This window comes from Homo sapiens, chromosome 17 (assembly GCF_000001405.40).
Source record: "Homo sapiens chromosome 17, GRCh38.p14 Primary Assembly".
In the NCBI taxonomy this organism is placed as follows: domain Eukaryota; kingdom Metazoa; phylum Chordata; class Mammalia; order Primates; family Hominidae; genus Homo; species Homo sapiens.
The window spans coordinates 1,479,247-1,492,699 of NC_000017.11; the positions used below are offsets into that span (position 1 = coordinate 1,479,247).

The following is a 13,453-nucleotide window of genomic DNA, read 5'->3' on the forward strand; positions in this document are numbered from 1 at the left end:
CCTCCCCAAGTGCTGGGGTTACAGGCGTGAGCCACGGCGCTCGGCTCTCACTCTGCTTCTCTGAGCAGCCTTCCTTCCATCCCTCCAGCATTGCTGAGGGAACCAGGCGAAGGGGAGTGATGGGAGTAGGGGCTGCCTTGGAACAGCTGCCCCTCCACACCCGAGGGCAAGGGCCCGGCCTCACCTCCTCCCCCTTGGCGATGATCTTCCTGTGTGTCAGGGCTTCTCGCAGCGTCGAGCCTTCCACGCTGAGGAGCTGCCAAGGGCAGGCGAGGACACGGTGAGGGTGCACCCCCAGCCCCCGCCCCCGCCGTCCTCCCGTCGCCCTCTGCCCGCCCCACTCACCCTGGTCAGATACTTGAGCTGGTTCTCGGTGGTGACCTGGGCATTGCTCTCCTCGTTGGCAGCAAAGTGGATGTTGCCCAAATGAAGGACGCTGGCCACGATGCTCAGCAGGTCCTGGGGGAGCAGGCCGGGGGCAGGAGGGGGTGAGAGGGGCCAGAGAGCCCCAAGAGGGCAACTAGCAGATGGCCATGCAGGGGTGGGTGGTGAAGTGTCGGAGAGAAGGGGCTGGAAGTGGGAATGGGTGTTAAAGGTGGAAGGTGATTCTGCGGGTGGGATGGGCACGGTGGCTGACGCCTGTAATCCCAGCACTTTGGGAGGCTGAGGCGGGAGGATCATCTGAGGTCAGGAGTTCGAGACCAGCCCAGCCAACATGGCAAAACCCCATCATTATTAAAAATACAAAAATTAGCCAGGTGTGGTGGCAGGTGTCTGTAATCCCAACTACTCAGGAGGCTGAGGCATGAGAATCACTTTAACCTGGAGGCAGAGGTTGCAGTGAACTGAGATCGCACCACTGCACTCCAGCCTGGGCGAAAGAGCGAGACTCCATCTCAAAAAAAAAAAAAAAAAAAAAAAAGGGATTACTGGCCCACGCCTGTAATCCCAGCACTTTGAGAGGCTGAGGCAGGCGGATCACCTGAGGTCGGGAGTTCGAGACCAGGCTGGCCAACATGGTGAAACTCCGTCTCTACTAAAACTACAAAAAATTAGCTGGGCGTGGTGGCGGGCGCCTGTAATCCCAGCTACTCGGGAGGCTGAGGCAGGAGAATTGCTTGAACCCAGGAGGCGGAGGTTGCAGTGAGCTGAGATTGCACCACTGCACTCCAGCCTGGGCAACAAGAATGAAACTCCGTCTCAAAAAATAAAAAACAAAAAAAAAAGGAGATTTTGGGGGTGTGACAGGAGGAAAGCGAGGGTCCCGGAAGAGGCCTCACCTCCACTTCATCCTCGGTGAAATCAATGACTGTCAGAGCCTTCCTGACGACCTTCCAGTCACTCTTGTCGTTGATGGAGGAGACTTTGGCACACTGGCCCTGGAGGAAGGGCACAGCTGGGTTGCCAGCCCTGGCACCAGATCCCTGGGTGGCACCTGCCCTCCCTGCCAGCCACTCACCTTCACCAGGTACAGGTAGCTCTGGGGGTTCCGTTCCAAGCCCAGCCTGCGAAGAGTCTCCTCCTCGCCCCCCTCCAGCAGCTGGTAGAAGATGTGGAAGTTCCGCTCCCCATGATTCTGGTGCACCACTCGTGACTTTTCCAGGAGGTAACTGAGGATGTGGCCACCCACGGGGGCACCCTGTGGGCAGGGCAGGGCATGAGGCCGGGTCACGGGGACTGGGAAAAGAGCCCACCTGCCCCTCTTCTCCCCTGCACTCCTGGGCTTTGGCAGCCAGACCTGGATGCCAATTCCAGCCCTGCCACTAGCTGCGTCGGCTCAGGCACGCCACCCACGCTGGACTCAGTTACTTCATCTAGGAAATGGGGAGATTCAACTCCAACGACCTGGCTGCTCCACCTGGATGCCTGACAGGTATCGCAAATTCAACAGGCCTGAAGCTCAACACCGGACCTTCTCCCTCTTCAAACAAGCTCCTGTTAGTGTCTGCCCTCCTTGGTCAGTGGTGACTACATCCTTCTCGTTGTTCAAGCCAAGGACTTGGCAGTCCTCCTGGAAGCCTGTGTTTCTCCAAACCCTACATCCAATCAGGCAGCTCATCCTGCTGCCTTAACCTTTAAAACATCCAGAATCCAATCACTGCTCGCCACTTCCACTGCACCACACTGGTCTGAGCCAATGTCACCTGTCACCTACATGATGACATCAGCCCCCTAACCGTTTTCCCTGCTTAGCCTGGTTCCCCTCCCATCTATTCGTCTACTCCCAATCTCCCAGTGAAGCAGCTAAAGTCATTTTTTTATTTTTTATTTTTGGAGACAGGGTCTTGCTTTCACCCAGGCTGGAGTGCAGTAGTGCAATCACAGTTCACTGCACCCTCGAACTCCCGGGTTCAAGCAATTCTCCTGCCTCAGCCTCCTGAGTAGCTGGGACAACAGGCACACACCACCGTGCCTGGCTAATTTTTGTATTTTCAGTAGAGGCAGGGTTTCACCATGTTGGCCAGGCTGGTCTTGAACTCCCGACCTCACGTGATCCACCTGCCCCAACCTCCCAAAGTGCTCAGATTACAGGCATGAGCCACCTCACCCAGCCCGATGACTCCCCTTCTACTCAGAGTTAAAAAAAAAAAAAAAAAGTTCTTGCAACAACCCAAAAGGGCCTGCACCGTTTGGCCTCTCTCTGTTCGCGGGCCCCTGCTCTCTTCTCTGGCCGCTGTGGCCTCCGTGCTGTCCTGGAACACTTCCAGCACCCTCGTATCTCAGGCCTTTGTCCTGGCTGTTCCGTTCCCGCTGCCTGGACAGGCACCTGCACAGCCTGCTCCTATCTCCATCAAGCCATTATTTTCTATTTTTTTTAGAGACAGGGTCTCACTCCGTAGCCCAAGCTGGAGTACAGTGGCATGATCATAGCTTAGGGTAACCTTGGACTCCTGGCCTCAAGTGATCCTCCTGCCTCAGCCTCCAGAGGAGCTGGGACAACAGACATGTGCCACCCTACCCAGCTGTCAAGCCTTTATTAAAATGCCACTTTCTCAGTGAGGCCTACCCTAATACGACCGCACCTGCCCCCCACTCCTTACTGCATTTTATTTTCTGCCACGGCCTCAATTTCCCTGTTTATTGTTTATCACCCTGGAAGGCAGGATTTTTGTTTGCTTTGTTTGACTGCTGGAATTGCAGCACCTGGAATAGTCCCTGGTACCCAGTAGGTGCTTCACACGTGTAGAGCCTACTGAATGGGAATCCTCACGACACACACATCCATGGTACCTTGAAGTCAAACTGCACATCCATGTACTTCCCGAACCTGCTGGAGTTATCGTTCCGGAGGGTCTTGGCATTTCCAAAGGCCTAGGAGTGGACAGGGGTATGAGGGACACCTGGCACTCTCCCCCTGCCCTCCCCACCCCGCCTTGTAGCTACTGCTGCCCCTCCCCTCCCGCACTGGGCTTCTCTCCCTGCCCCTCCCCTCCCCTCCCGCACTGGGCTTCTCTCCCTGCCCTCCCCTCCCCTCCTGCACTGGGCTTCTCTCCCTGCCCCTCCCCTCCCCTCCCACACTAGCCTTCTCTCCCTGCCCTCCCCTCCCACACTGGGCTTCTCTCCCTGCCCCTCCCCTCCCGCACTGGCACTGGGCTTCTCTCCCTGCCCCTCACCTCCAGCACCGGGTTGCTCTGTAGCAGCCGGTCCCGCACGGCACCTCCGCGCTCGGGGGCTGGGCAGGTCTCTGCATAGAACTGCAGCAGCCTCTTGGTGGCCTCGGTCTTGCCTGCCCCGCTCTCCCCAGAGATCATCACAGCCTGGTCCCGACGCTCCGTGCGCAGTGCTCGGTACACAGTGTCCGCCACGGCAAACCTGGGGCGGAGGCTCGTCAGGGAGTTTGGGGAGGGGGGCCAAGCAGAGCCCCACGAGAGTCCCGCTCCCACATCTGGGTGGAGTCCTCTTGTGGGAGTCGAATACACCCTTGAGGATGGGGACTGGGGGTCCCTCACAGGTGTGGGCCATGGGAGATCCGTCATAGCTGAGAATGGGCGTCACCGCCAGCGGGAGGACTGAGAGGCTCTCACAGGTGGGAGGCTGGAGGTCACTTAGGTGGAGGCTGGAGTCACTCACGGGTAGGGCTGGGGGGGGTCTTTGCAGGTGGGGTTCAGAGGTCACTAAGATTGGGGGGCCACTCCCAGTTGGGGAATAAGTCATGGGTGTGAGTCGGGGTAGGGACTGAGTCCCACCCACATGGAGCTGAGTTGCGACATTCATCTCTGGTCACTGGGGGGCAAGAGACTGTGGGATTCCTCACAGATGTGGCGCGGGACGCCAGGATCATTTCAGAGTAAGGTAAGGGTTGGGCGGGGTCACCTCAGATGGAGACAGAGGGGTCGCTCCCGGAGGGGCTGGGGTCACTCACAGGTGAGGGGGCACTTCATAGAAGCTGACGCCACGGTAACGCTCCATATGCTGCCGGCTGTAGATCTGCAGGTCCCGGTAGGGATTGACAGAGACCAGGACGGGGCCAATGTAGGTCTGGGATCGGGGGAAGAGGGTCCAAAGTTTATCCCGGGCCAGGTGCGATGGCTCATGCCTGTAATCCCAGCACTTTGGGAGGCCAAGGTGGGCGGATCACCTGAGGTCGGGAGTTCAAGACCAACCTGACCAACATGGAGAAATCCGTCTCTACTAAAAATACAAAATTAGCCGGGCGTGGTGGCGGGTGCCTGTAATCCCAGCTACTCGGGAGGCTGAGGCAGGAGAATCGCTTGAACCCGGGGGGAGGAGGTTACAGTGAGCTGAGATCGCGCCACTGCACTCCAGCCTGGGCAACAAGAGTGAAACTGTCTCAAAAAAAAAAAAAAAGTTTATCCCGGTGACCCTTGGTGTCTCTTTCCCCTCCGCTTGCCTGTGTCTGTGACCCCAGCACCCCTGCCATCTCCCCACAAGGGCCTCACGTAGATGAGATTCTCCCGAAATCGCCGCCGCAGGTTCTCGATGAAGGCGGCCTCGCTGGTGAAGTTCTCCAGCAGCACGAAATCCTGCACCCCCACCCGGTCACGGGCGGTGAGCGCACTCTCCATGGTCACCCGAACCCCGTCACTGCCCAGGGCCTGCAGAGAATGGGCCACAGAAGAGGGTCAGAGTCATCGGGGGCGGGGCAAGGCCACTTCCCTGCGCCTGTGGGACTGAGAGGGAACGTAGGGGCTTGTGGACTCCGGGCTAGACACGGGACATGAGCATGACGGGTGCGGGGGGCCTGGGTGCTGAGGGCCTGGGTGTGGTGGGCCGGGTGCGGAAAGCCGGGTGTGGAGGGCCCGGGTCCCAGTGTGGCAGCAGAGGGATCACCGAGGCTGCGGGCACAGAACAGAGACAACATGAACCACTTGGGACTCGGACACAGGGCATGGACGCAGGCAGGACCAGAGGGCAGAACCCGGGAGGTGCTGGTTTTGGGTGGAGAAAGGGGGGGTCACAAGAAGGAACTCCTTGAAATAGCAGAAAGACTGCTCTGTTGAGCTTGGACCAATCCCCTCCTCTCTCTGGTTCCTTCCTCCTAAAGGAGGAGGAGTTGAGTTAGACCAGGTGACCTCAGGTCCCTCAGCTCTGAGCCACGTGTGACAGGTGCTTTGGAGGACAAATGGCTCAGGGTCAATTCTGCAGGCAGGGTGGGGCCGTCTCTCCCACCCAGACCCACCCCCACCTCCACCGGTAGAGCGTCGAGCACCAAGCAAGAGGTTACTCCCAGACTACACCAGAGGGGTTCCCCCAGAGGGCCTCCCACCCCAGCTGGGCTCAGCCACCCACTCCAGAACGCGGGGGAGGCCCTCCCTCGCATGGCTGGGGCCACTCCCTTTCCTCCAGCTGCTGGGCTCCCCAGGCACCTCCTCCACTGAGAGTCCTGAGAAGCCTCAGGGGATGGGGGCTTTACCATGGAAAGCCCAGCTGCCTCTGGGTCCTACTGGAGGGTGGAGGGTGGTGCAGGCTGAGCAAGACCCTCGCCCCACAACCAGGGCTGAGATGGATCCCTCTTCAAACAGGGTCTCAGGGCTCCAAAAAATGGACACCCAGAGTATCCAGGGTCAGAGAAGAACAAGGTGGTGGTGATTGGGGGTGGATCCCAAAGGGGCCGCCGGTGTCCTCTGACCACGAAAGGCCCAGATTTCTGGCCGGGGGCCTGCCCCTCCCAGGCTTGTCCTCACCGCCCCGCTCCAATCCCGCGCCGAAGCGGCTGCCAAATCCGGCCGCGGTCCCCGCCCCCTCGCCCTCGGGTCAGGGGTCTCCGCGTTCTCAGGCGTCCCCGGCGGCTCCTCATCCGGCCCCGGGTCCGAGCGTCCCGCGCCGCCCTCCCCGCCTCGGCCTCCTCCCCCTGCAACTTCCCGGGACGTTTTTCCACCCGGAATTCCTGGGCCGCGCCCGCTTCCTGGCGAGGCCGAGGCGACGCCGCGAGGTGGGGAGGGACGCCCGGGACCCCCCGCCCTGCCCCGCCGCCCCCAGGCTCACCGACGCCCGGTAGCGCATCCTGCCCGGCCGGCCTGGCGCCCGCTCCGCTGCCCGCGCTCCGGGTCCCGGGCTCGGCGGCGGTGGCGGCGGCGTCAGCGAGGGAGGGCCCGCCCCCCGCACCGCCCCCACCCGGGCCCCTGAAGCGCGGGGCTTCCCCGGCCTCCCCCGCCTCCCGCGCGGCCGGGCTGGGGTCCCCTCCAGGTGGGGTTGGTGGAGGTGGGGGTGTCGGGGCGGGGGGTCCGCGGGCCGGGGGCGGGGGCGGGCTCCGCCTGAGTCAGGTTTTCCAGGAGGGACGCCGTTGGCACCAGGGTGGAGCCCGGAACCCGCGCGGCCGCCGCGTCTACACCGACCCGGAACTCACTTCCGGGCCTGGGACTACACTCCGCGGCGGGCCTGGGCGCTGGGCGGGCACCGAGGCCTGCGGGTCCCAGAGGAAGCGGGATTTTCCTCCCCCAACCCCCGAACTCGAGTCCCGGGAAAGTTAAAAATAGAACCAATGTCCAAATACGGCCGGCGCGCCCGGCGGGCGGAGCGTTCTCCGTGCGGGACGCCGTCCACCCACACGCGCCGGGGCCTGGTCCGAGCCTCGAACCCAGGAAGATCTTGGTTTTCCTCGTCAGCACGGAGCTCGCGCCCCAGGGACAGGGACGGCCAACGGGTGCCCTGGCCGAGCGCGCGGAGTACCCGGCCCCTCTGGAGGGCTCAGTTCCCCCTCTGGGAAATTCGCGTCCCCCCCGCCCACGGCATTTGGGGCCCACAGCCTCTCCCCACCCGGGACACCCCACTCGCCTCTGGGCCCGGACCTCCTCCCTCCCTCCTTTTTTTTTCTGTTTTTTTTTTGAGACGGGGTCTTGCGCTGGCTCCCAGGTTGGAGTTCAGTGGCGCGATCTCGGCTCACTGCAACCTCTGCCTCCCGGGTTCTAGCGATTTTCCTGTCTCAGCCTCCCGAGTAGCTGGGATTACAGGCGTGCGCCACCACACTCGGCTAATTTTTGTATTTTTAGTAGAGACGGGGTTTTACCATGTTGGCCAAGCTGGTCTGGAACTCCTGACCTCAGGTGATCCACCCGCCTCGGCCTCCCAAAGTGCTGGGATTCCAGGCGTGAGCCATCGCGCCCGGCCCATCTCCCTCCCTGCTTTGAAGGGGGCCTCCCTAGTCCCTCCGGATCTCCGGGACGCCCCCCACCTCCGAAGCGGCCTCGGCAGAACCTCCCTCGCTTGGCTCTGCGGGCACCACCCTCCCTCGCCTGGGGCGAACCTTGGCTCAGATCCCACCGCGGGCAGGGGCGGGGACGTCTAGAGTCTGCAAAAGGCTGGGCTGGTTCTTCCTCGCGGTGGGACTCTGAGCAAGTCACTTAACGTTTCGGCTTCTGTTCTTCATCCCTAACATGAGGCTAACACAGGCCTAGAAGGGCCGTTGGGTGGCCTGAGATAGAGCGTGAAGGCACCTCCAGACCCCCTATAGACCTCGCTGCCCCCACCCGCCGCCTTCCCTCGGCCGGACGCTCATTTCTCACTTGCTTGCGGGCAGAGGCCTACTGAGAGCCAGGCCGTGGGCCACGCTTCCGATCCGGTGGGGAGAGCCTCAGGCGCGTCTGCAGGCACCTGCCTCCTCCACCAACACAACGGCGTACACAGACTCGCCCTGGTGGGGTTAGGCAGAGCGGGAACCCAAAGCCCCAGCGCCCCACCCCCAGCTCGCGGACCCCGCTCCCTGGGGAGAGGGCGAGGCTGCGGCAGGTGCGGGCCGGATCCTTGCGGGGAAGGCTCGTCACTGCAACAACCCGGCCGGAGCGGCGGCCCTGGGGACCCCCGAGCGGGGGCACCAGCTGGTGGGGGAGTGGGAGCGGGGGAGGGGGAATGGCGGCGTCTCGGACAGAGGCGGGGGAGGGCGGGAGGAGACGCCCGCTGCGGTGCCCCCAGGTTTAAAATCTAGAGGGAGGGCCGGGCGCGGTGGCTCACGCCTGTAATCCCAGCGCTTTCGGAGGCCGAGGCGGGCGGATCATCAGAGTTCAGGAGTTCGAGACCAGCCTGACCAGCATGGCGAAACCCCCTCTCTGCTAGAAAATACAAAAATTAGCTGAGCGTGGTGGTGGGCGCCTGTGTAATCCCAGCTGCTCGGGAGGCTGAGGCACGAGAATCGCTTGAACCCGGGAGACGGAGGTTGCAGTGAGCCGAGATTGTGCCACTGCACTCCAGCCTGGGCGACAGAGCGAAGCTCCGTCTCCAAACAAAACAGAACAAGGAAAATCTAGAGGGAGCAAGGAGGCGACCCAGCCTCCAGCCCGCCCAGGGGTGGGGAACGTCCTAGAAGACGGGGTAGAGGGTCAAGAGAGCCCCTCCCGGAAGCTCAGCTCTCTCCCTGCCCCGCGAGGCGTGGGGGACTCGGGCCGGGGGCGTGGCAGGAGCCAGCGGGGGCGCGGCCAGAGGACGGGGCGGAGCTTCGCGGCCGCAGTGTCCGCCCCGCCCCTCCACGTCACGCGGTTGGAATGAGGGGAATCCGCGCGCGGAGGGGTCGGGCCCGCTTCTTCCAGTTCCCGGGCCGCGCCGCCGCATTCCCGGGATGCCCGCTGGCGCCCCCGCAGCCACCGCCCGGCGGCGGAAGGAGGGGGCGTCTCCGCCGCTCGCGGGCCCCAGGGCGGCTCCAGCACTGGCAACCCCCGGCCTGCCCCTCCTCACTGGACGGAAGCGCGAGCCCCGGGCGGGGAGGGAAGCGGGGAACCTGGGTGGGAAAGACGCCGCGGCTGAGGCTGCAGCGCCAGGCGCCTCCTGCGTTCTCCGCGCTTTCTTGGGTTACTCCTTTCAGTGACGCCAGCCAAGCCGTGAGGTCCGTATCATCACTCCAATGCAGAAGAACTTGAGGCTGGGCAGGTGACTTGTGCAAGGTCTCAGGAGGAGTGGGACTGGAACCCGGGCACTGGAACACCTTACTGCAGGGCTGCCCTGAGCCTCTTTGTGCGGTTATCAGGGCTACCAGGGCTGTGACCTTCAGTGACACCGTTCAGGCCCCTGTCGGTGTCGTGTGATTCTATTATGTCACATGTGGGCTTTAGGAGTGGGCCAGGGCCTTTGGCTCTGGGCCTAGAGGTTCCCTGCAGGCCATGGCCCCTGAGTGACATAGGAGACTTCTTCCCCAAGGCTGCCTCTGGGTCTTCTCCCACCTGGGGAGGCATTTACTGGAACCACAGGGGATGGGGTGGCCCAGCAGACCTGGGCTATCTAGTGCCCTTCAGCTCCTATAGGCCAGGTGCCTACAAGCCTGACTTCTGCGGACAGCGGAAAGCTCAAATGTTCCCCCAGCCTAAGGGCACACAGATCTTGCCATGGGGTAGGGGTGTTGGGGGCTGGGAGGAGGTGTCATCTGAGGCACCCGGGACTGCTGCTATAAACCGATGTCCACTGAGCCCAAGGCAGCAGAAAGGCAGCCACAGCTTGTCTCACGGGTGGCACAGAGCAGGGCTTCAACTTCTGTTTATTAAACAAATCTTAGATCTGGGCCTGGCTGCCCACCAAGGACCGTTCCAGACCTCAGGGAATTGTTGTGAAGGGAAATGGGGAGGAGATAGTGGCGACTTAGGGTCTCTACCCTGATTGCTCACAGGGCCTTGGTCAAGGACTGTCCATTCTAGCTACACAACCATGGATCTTTGGCTGCCAGACACCTCTGCCTGGGGGGTCCAGCAAACGTGAACAGAGGCAAGGTGCAGTGAGTGGCTCACACCTGTAACCCCAGAACTTTGAGAGGCCGAGGTGGGAGGATCGCTTGAGGCCAGGAGTTCAAGACCAGCCTGGGCCACATAGTGGTGAGACCCCTGCCTCCACTAAAATTTTTTTAAAAAGTTAGCCAGGCATGGTGTGTGCCTGTGGTCCCAGCTACTTGGAAGGCTAAGGTGGGAGGATTGCTTGAGCCCAAGAGGTTGAGGCTGCAGTGAGCTGTGATGGTGCTACTGCACTCCAGCCTGGGTACCCCAGAAGACCCAGTGTCAAACAAACAAAGAAACAAAGCAATAAACCCATAACATGTTAACATAAATTTGTATGGGGGAAAAAAAAAAGTAAACGGCCCAGGAGCGGTGGCTCATGCCTGTAATCCCAGCACTTTGGGAGGCCAAGGCAGGCAAGATCACTTGAGGTCAGGAGTTCCAGACCAGCCTGGCCCACATGGTGAAACCCTGTTTCAACTAAAAATACAAAAAATTAGCAGGGTGTGGTGGCACACGCTTGTAATCCCAGCTACTTGGGAGGCTGAGACAGGAGAACTGCTTGAATCCTGGAGGAAGAGGTTGCAGAGAGCTGAGATCATGCCACTGCACTCCAGACTGAGTGACAGAGACACTGTCTCAAAAAAAAAAAAAAAAAAAGAGGGCCTTTGACCCCTAACCTGTACTCCCTGTTTAATGTCCTTGTAGAGAGAAGGGTGGCACTGTTTGAGCTGGTCATCACAGCCTGGCATTAACAGGCCTGCTCTCCTGCCTCCACTCCTCACACCAAGTAGTCACGACCTGCTAAAACCTCACCTCCAGGCCGGGCGCGGTGGCTCAGGCCTGTAATCCCAGCACTTTGGTAGGCCTAGGCAGGTGGATCACAAGGTCAGGAGATTGAGACCATCCTGGCTAACACGGTGAAACCCCGTCTCTACTAAAAAAAAAAAAAAATTAGCTGGGCGCGGTGGCACACACCTGTAATCCCAGCTACTCAGGAGGCTGAGGCAGGAGAATAGCTTGAACCCGGCAGGTGGAGGTTGCAGTGAGCAGAGGTCGCACCACTGCATTCCATCCTGGGCAACAGAGCGAGACTCCATCTCAAAACAAAACAAAACAACAACAAAAACAAACAAAAACCTCACCTCCATCACTGCTCCTTACCTGGGCCAAGACAGCAGCCTAACTGGCCTCCTTGCCTTCCTCCTACCAATCCATTTCCTCTGGGGCAACACAAATCAAATCAACACCTCATGTTCATAGAGTGAAGGTTTAGGACACCCTCCATATGCCAGGCCCATGATTCACACTCACTGCTGCTTACCAGGACCCTGCCTATGAACTCCCGAGACCCCCCTGCTGTCCCCAGTTTACCCCACTGCTCCTGCATTCCGATGTGCCAGATGGCCCGCTCCAGTCCCCTCTCCCCCCACCCCTCCCCCCAGGAGGGGGCCTTCGCACCGTCGCCAGCCAGTCCAAGCTTCAGTGCCTGCACCTGCGGCTTCCCCAGCCCGGGGCACTCTCCCTGCCCACCTCACTGAGACTCGGCTCAGGTGTCACCTCCTCCAGAACCCCTTCCTGATTCTCCCAAACACGCAGCGCCTCCTTATCGCACCCCGCAGGAATCAGCTGTTTCCTTGTCAGTCCCTCCCAGGAGACGGCTCCCACTCCCTACACGCAGCGAGGCACACGGTGGGGCTCAGTCACCCCTTCCCGGACCCCTGGATGAATGAATGAATCTCAGAGCCAGGCGTGTGCGCGGGAGGCCGGAGCGTGAGGACTGAGGGCCGCGTGGCCATCCTCCTTCTCCGGCCACCCCGGAGCCCCCCGCCCGTCACACTCGGGGCGCGCTGGGCCCCAGGGGCGGAGAACGGGAAGGGGCGGGTTTAGGCGGCTTCTCCGGAACCCAGAGGCGGAGCAGGGCTGCGGGCGGGGCCCGAAGGGCGCGCAGGGTCCTGGGTCCTGCAGCCCAGGCCGCTCTTCCCCGCCTCCCGCTCCCCGCAGGTAAATCTAAGTCTCCACCAGGCTGCGCCGGCGCCTCCGGGTCGTGGGACCCCCCCCCCCCGCACGGGTCCACGCGGCCGTTCTTCGGCCCCAGCGATCCCCGGCCGTGACCCCTGCCTCGTGCACGGCGGCTCCCGGCCCGGCCGCCCGCTCCCCACACCCGCCCCCCGCGGCCGCCGTCCCCGCGCCCCGAGTACCCACCGGCGTGGCTCTTCCGGCGCGGGCGGGGCCGGGCTGGGCGGCGTGGCGGGCTTGGGGATCCGCGGCCCGGGCGCACTCTCCCCGCCCAGGGCCCGCCGGGGGCCGGGCCGCAGCCTGTCGTCATCCCGGGCAGGGCCGCGCACCCTCCGGCCCCGCCCCGCCCCGCCTCAGCCCCGGCCGCGTCCGCGAAGCCTCGGTGCGTGCGGCCCCCGCCTCGGCCCGTTCCCGGGGCCACAGCGAACACGCGCGCGCCCCTCCGGCCGAAGACCCGGCTCCCCGCCGCGCTGCTGGGGGCGTGGGGGCGCCCGACTTTCTCCCTCCTCCGGGCCCTTTGCATCTCCAGCCCCTTCCTGCGGGCCGGGCCAGGGCCGCGCTCCCCCGTTTCTACCCACCCGTGACCCTTCACCCACCTCCCACACCGTCCTTCTGTTCTGAGTCTTGGGCGGTCCCAGCCCTGCGGACTGGAGAGGAGCGGGGCGTTGACTGAGCCTGGAGCTTCCATGCCCTGGTCCTTCGACCTCACAGCAGCCGGCACTTGCCTTTTGTGCCCAGTATTCACGGTTCTGCCCACTGAGGTTCGGGAAGCCGGGGAAGAGTCAAGCCCAGACCTCCACTTCCAAAAATCCTGCTGCTAGTGGCCCTTGCATCCTTACTCTTCCACTCACCCCGTCTTGTTCAGTCTGTTCTGGCCCCGCCAAGGATCGGAACCCCTCCCCGCTGCTCAGCTCTTGCCCGAGGGCTCGCCTGAGAGGGGCTGCCCGGCCTTGGGGAGACGCTCCCACCCTCCTCCCAGCCCAGAGCATCCCAGCTTACAAGCTTGCAGGGCCTGTGGGGATGAACCACGCGGATGATCTCCCCGGTGGGTACCAGCTCCACTTGCAGCGCCATTCCGCCCTGCGGAGAGCCAGCGGCCTGGGCACCGCGGCCTGTGAGCAAGAGCTGCCTGCCCACTGGCGGGCTCCGACCACTCCGGGACCAGGAACCTACGGTCTAACGCCGGGATGGCCACTTGGTTCTGCTTCAACTGCAGCCCCAGGGGATGTGGCTGGTCCAGCTCCTCAGGACACGGCTGGAGCCGTCCAGGTCTGACTGGGAGGCCT

At 62.4% G+C, this 13,453-nt stretch overlaps 1 protein-coding gene across 10 annotated transcripts in view, besides 8 other annotated features; it reads right to left on the reverse strand.

Moving 5' to 3' along the window:
* The window catches only part of MYO1C (myosin IC), a 28,501-nt gene extending 15,061 nt beyond the window's left edge, over positions 1-13,440 (reverse strand). Inside the window, exons 1-9 of one of the 10 annotated variants that reach the window (NM_001080779.2) lie at positions 13,167-13,440; positions 4,902-5,057; positions 4,364-4,479; positions 3,615-3,813; positions 3,232-3,312; positions 1,460-1,639; positions 1,281-1,379; positions 346-459; positions 185-256 (exon numbers count right to left, since the gene is read on the reverse strand). In NM_001080779.2, the coding sequence (NP_001074248.1) occupies positions 185-256; positions 346-459; positions 1,281-1,379; positions 1,460-1,639; positions 3,232-3,312; positions 3,615-3,813; positions 4,364-4,479; positions 4,902-5,057; positions 13,167-13,241 (1,092 nt within the window). In that variant the 5' untranslated portion in view covers positions 13,242-13,440. Of the gene's footprint in view, positions 1-184; positions 257-345; positions 460-1,280; positions 1,380-1,459; positions 1,640-3,231; positions 3,313-3,614; positions 3,814-4,363; positions 4,480-4,901; positions 5,058-5,875; positions 6,329-6,447; positions 6,515-6,808; positions 6,886-7,705; positions 7,886-7,964; positions 7,984-8,409; positions 8,427-11,681; positions 11,700-12,353; positions 12,434-13,166 lie in introns of those variants that run through there. The other 9 variants (NM_033375.5, XM_047436137.1, XM_047436134.1 and 6 more) reach the window with 9 other exon arrangements.
* Positions 5,508-5,677: an enhancer, noted in NCBI's record as "active region_11452". NCBI's record gives its function as "activates an Ori minimal core promoter by ATAC-STARR-seq in GM12878 lymphoblastoid cells {active_cell/tissue: GM12878}" and the evidence as "EXISTENCE:reporter gene assay evidence [ECO:0000049][PMID:35858748]".
* Positions 6,448-6,807: a silencer, noted in NCBI's record as "silent region_7955". NCBI's record gives its function as "represses an Ori minimal core promoter by ATAC-STARR-seq in GM12878 lymphoblastoid cells {active_cell/tissue: GM12878}" and the evidence as "EXISTENCE:reporter gene assay evidence [ECO:0000049][PMID:35858748]".
* Positions 8,170-8,329: a silencer, noted in NCBI's record as "silent region_7956". NCBI's record gives its function as "represses an Ori minimal core promoter by ATAC-STARR-seq in GM12878 lymphoblastoid cells {active_cell/tissue: GM12878}" and the evidence as "EXISTENCE:reporter gene assay evidence [ECO:0000049][PMID:35858748]".
* Positions 8,760-9,229: a silencer, noted in NCBI's record as "silent region_7957". NCBI's record gives its function as "represses an Ori minimal core promoter by ATAC-STARR-seq in GM12878 lymphoblastoid cells {active_cell/tissue: GM12878}" and the evidence as "EXISTENCE:reporter gene assay evidence [ECO:0000049][PMID:35858748]".
* Positions 11,772-12,491: an enhancer, noted in NCBI's record as "H3K27ac-H3K4me1 hESC enhancer chr17:1394312-1395031 (GRCh37/hg19 assembly coordinates)". NCBI's record gives its function as "activates a minimal SCP1, AML or CMV promoter by ChIP-STARR-seq in naive H9 embryonic stem cells {active_cell/tissue: H9 hESC(naive)}" and the evidence as "EXISTENCE:reporter gene assay evidence [ECO:0000049][PMID:30033119]".
* Positions 11,772-12,695: a biological region, named in NCBI's record as "H3K27ac-H3K4me1 hESC enhancer GRCh37_chr17:1394312-1395031".
* Positions 11,776-12,215: a silencer, noted in NCBI's record as "silent region_7958". NCBI's record gives its function as "represses an Ori minimal core promoter by ATAC-STARR-seq in GM12878 lymphoblastoid cells {active_cell/tissue: GM12878}" and the evidence as "EXISTENCE:reporter gene assay evidence [ECO:0000049][PMID:35858748]".
* Positions 12,296-12,695: a silencer, noted in NCBI's record as "silent region_7959". NCBI's record gives its function as "represses an Ori minimal core promoter by ATAC-STARR-seq in GM12878 lymphoblastoid cells {active_cell/tissue: GM12878}" and the evidence as "EXISTENCE:reporter gene assay evidence [ECO:0000049][PMID:35858748]".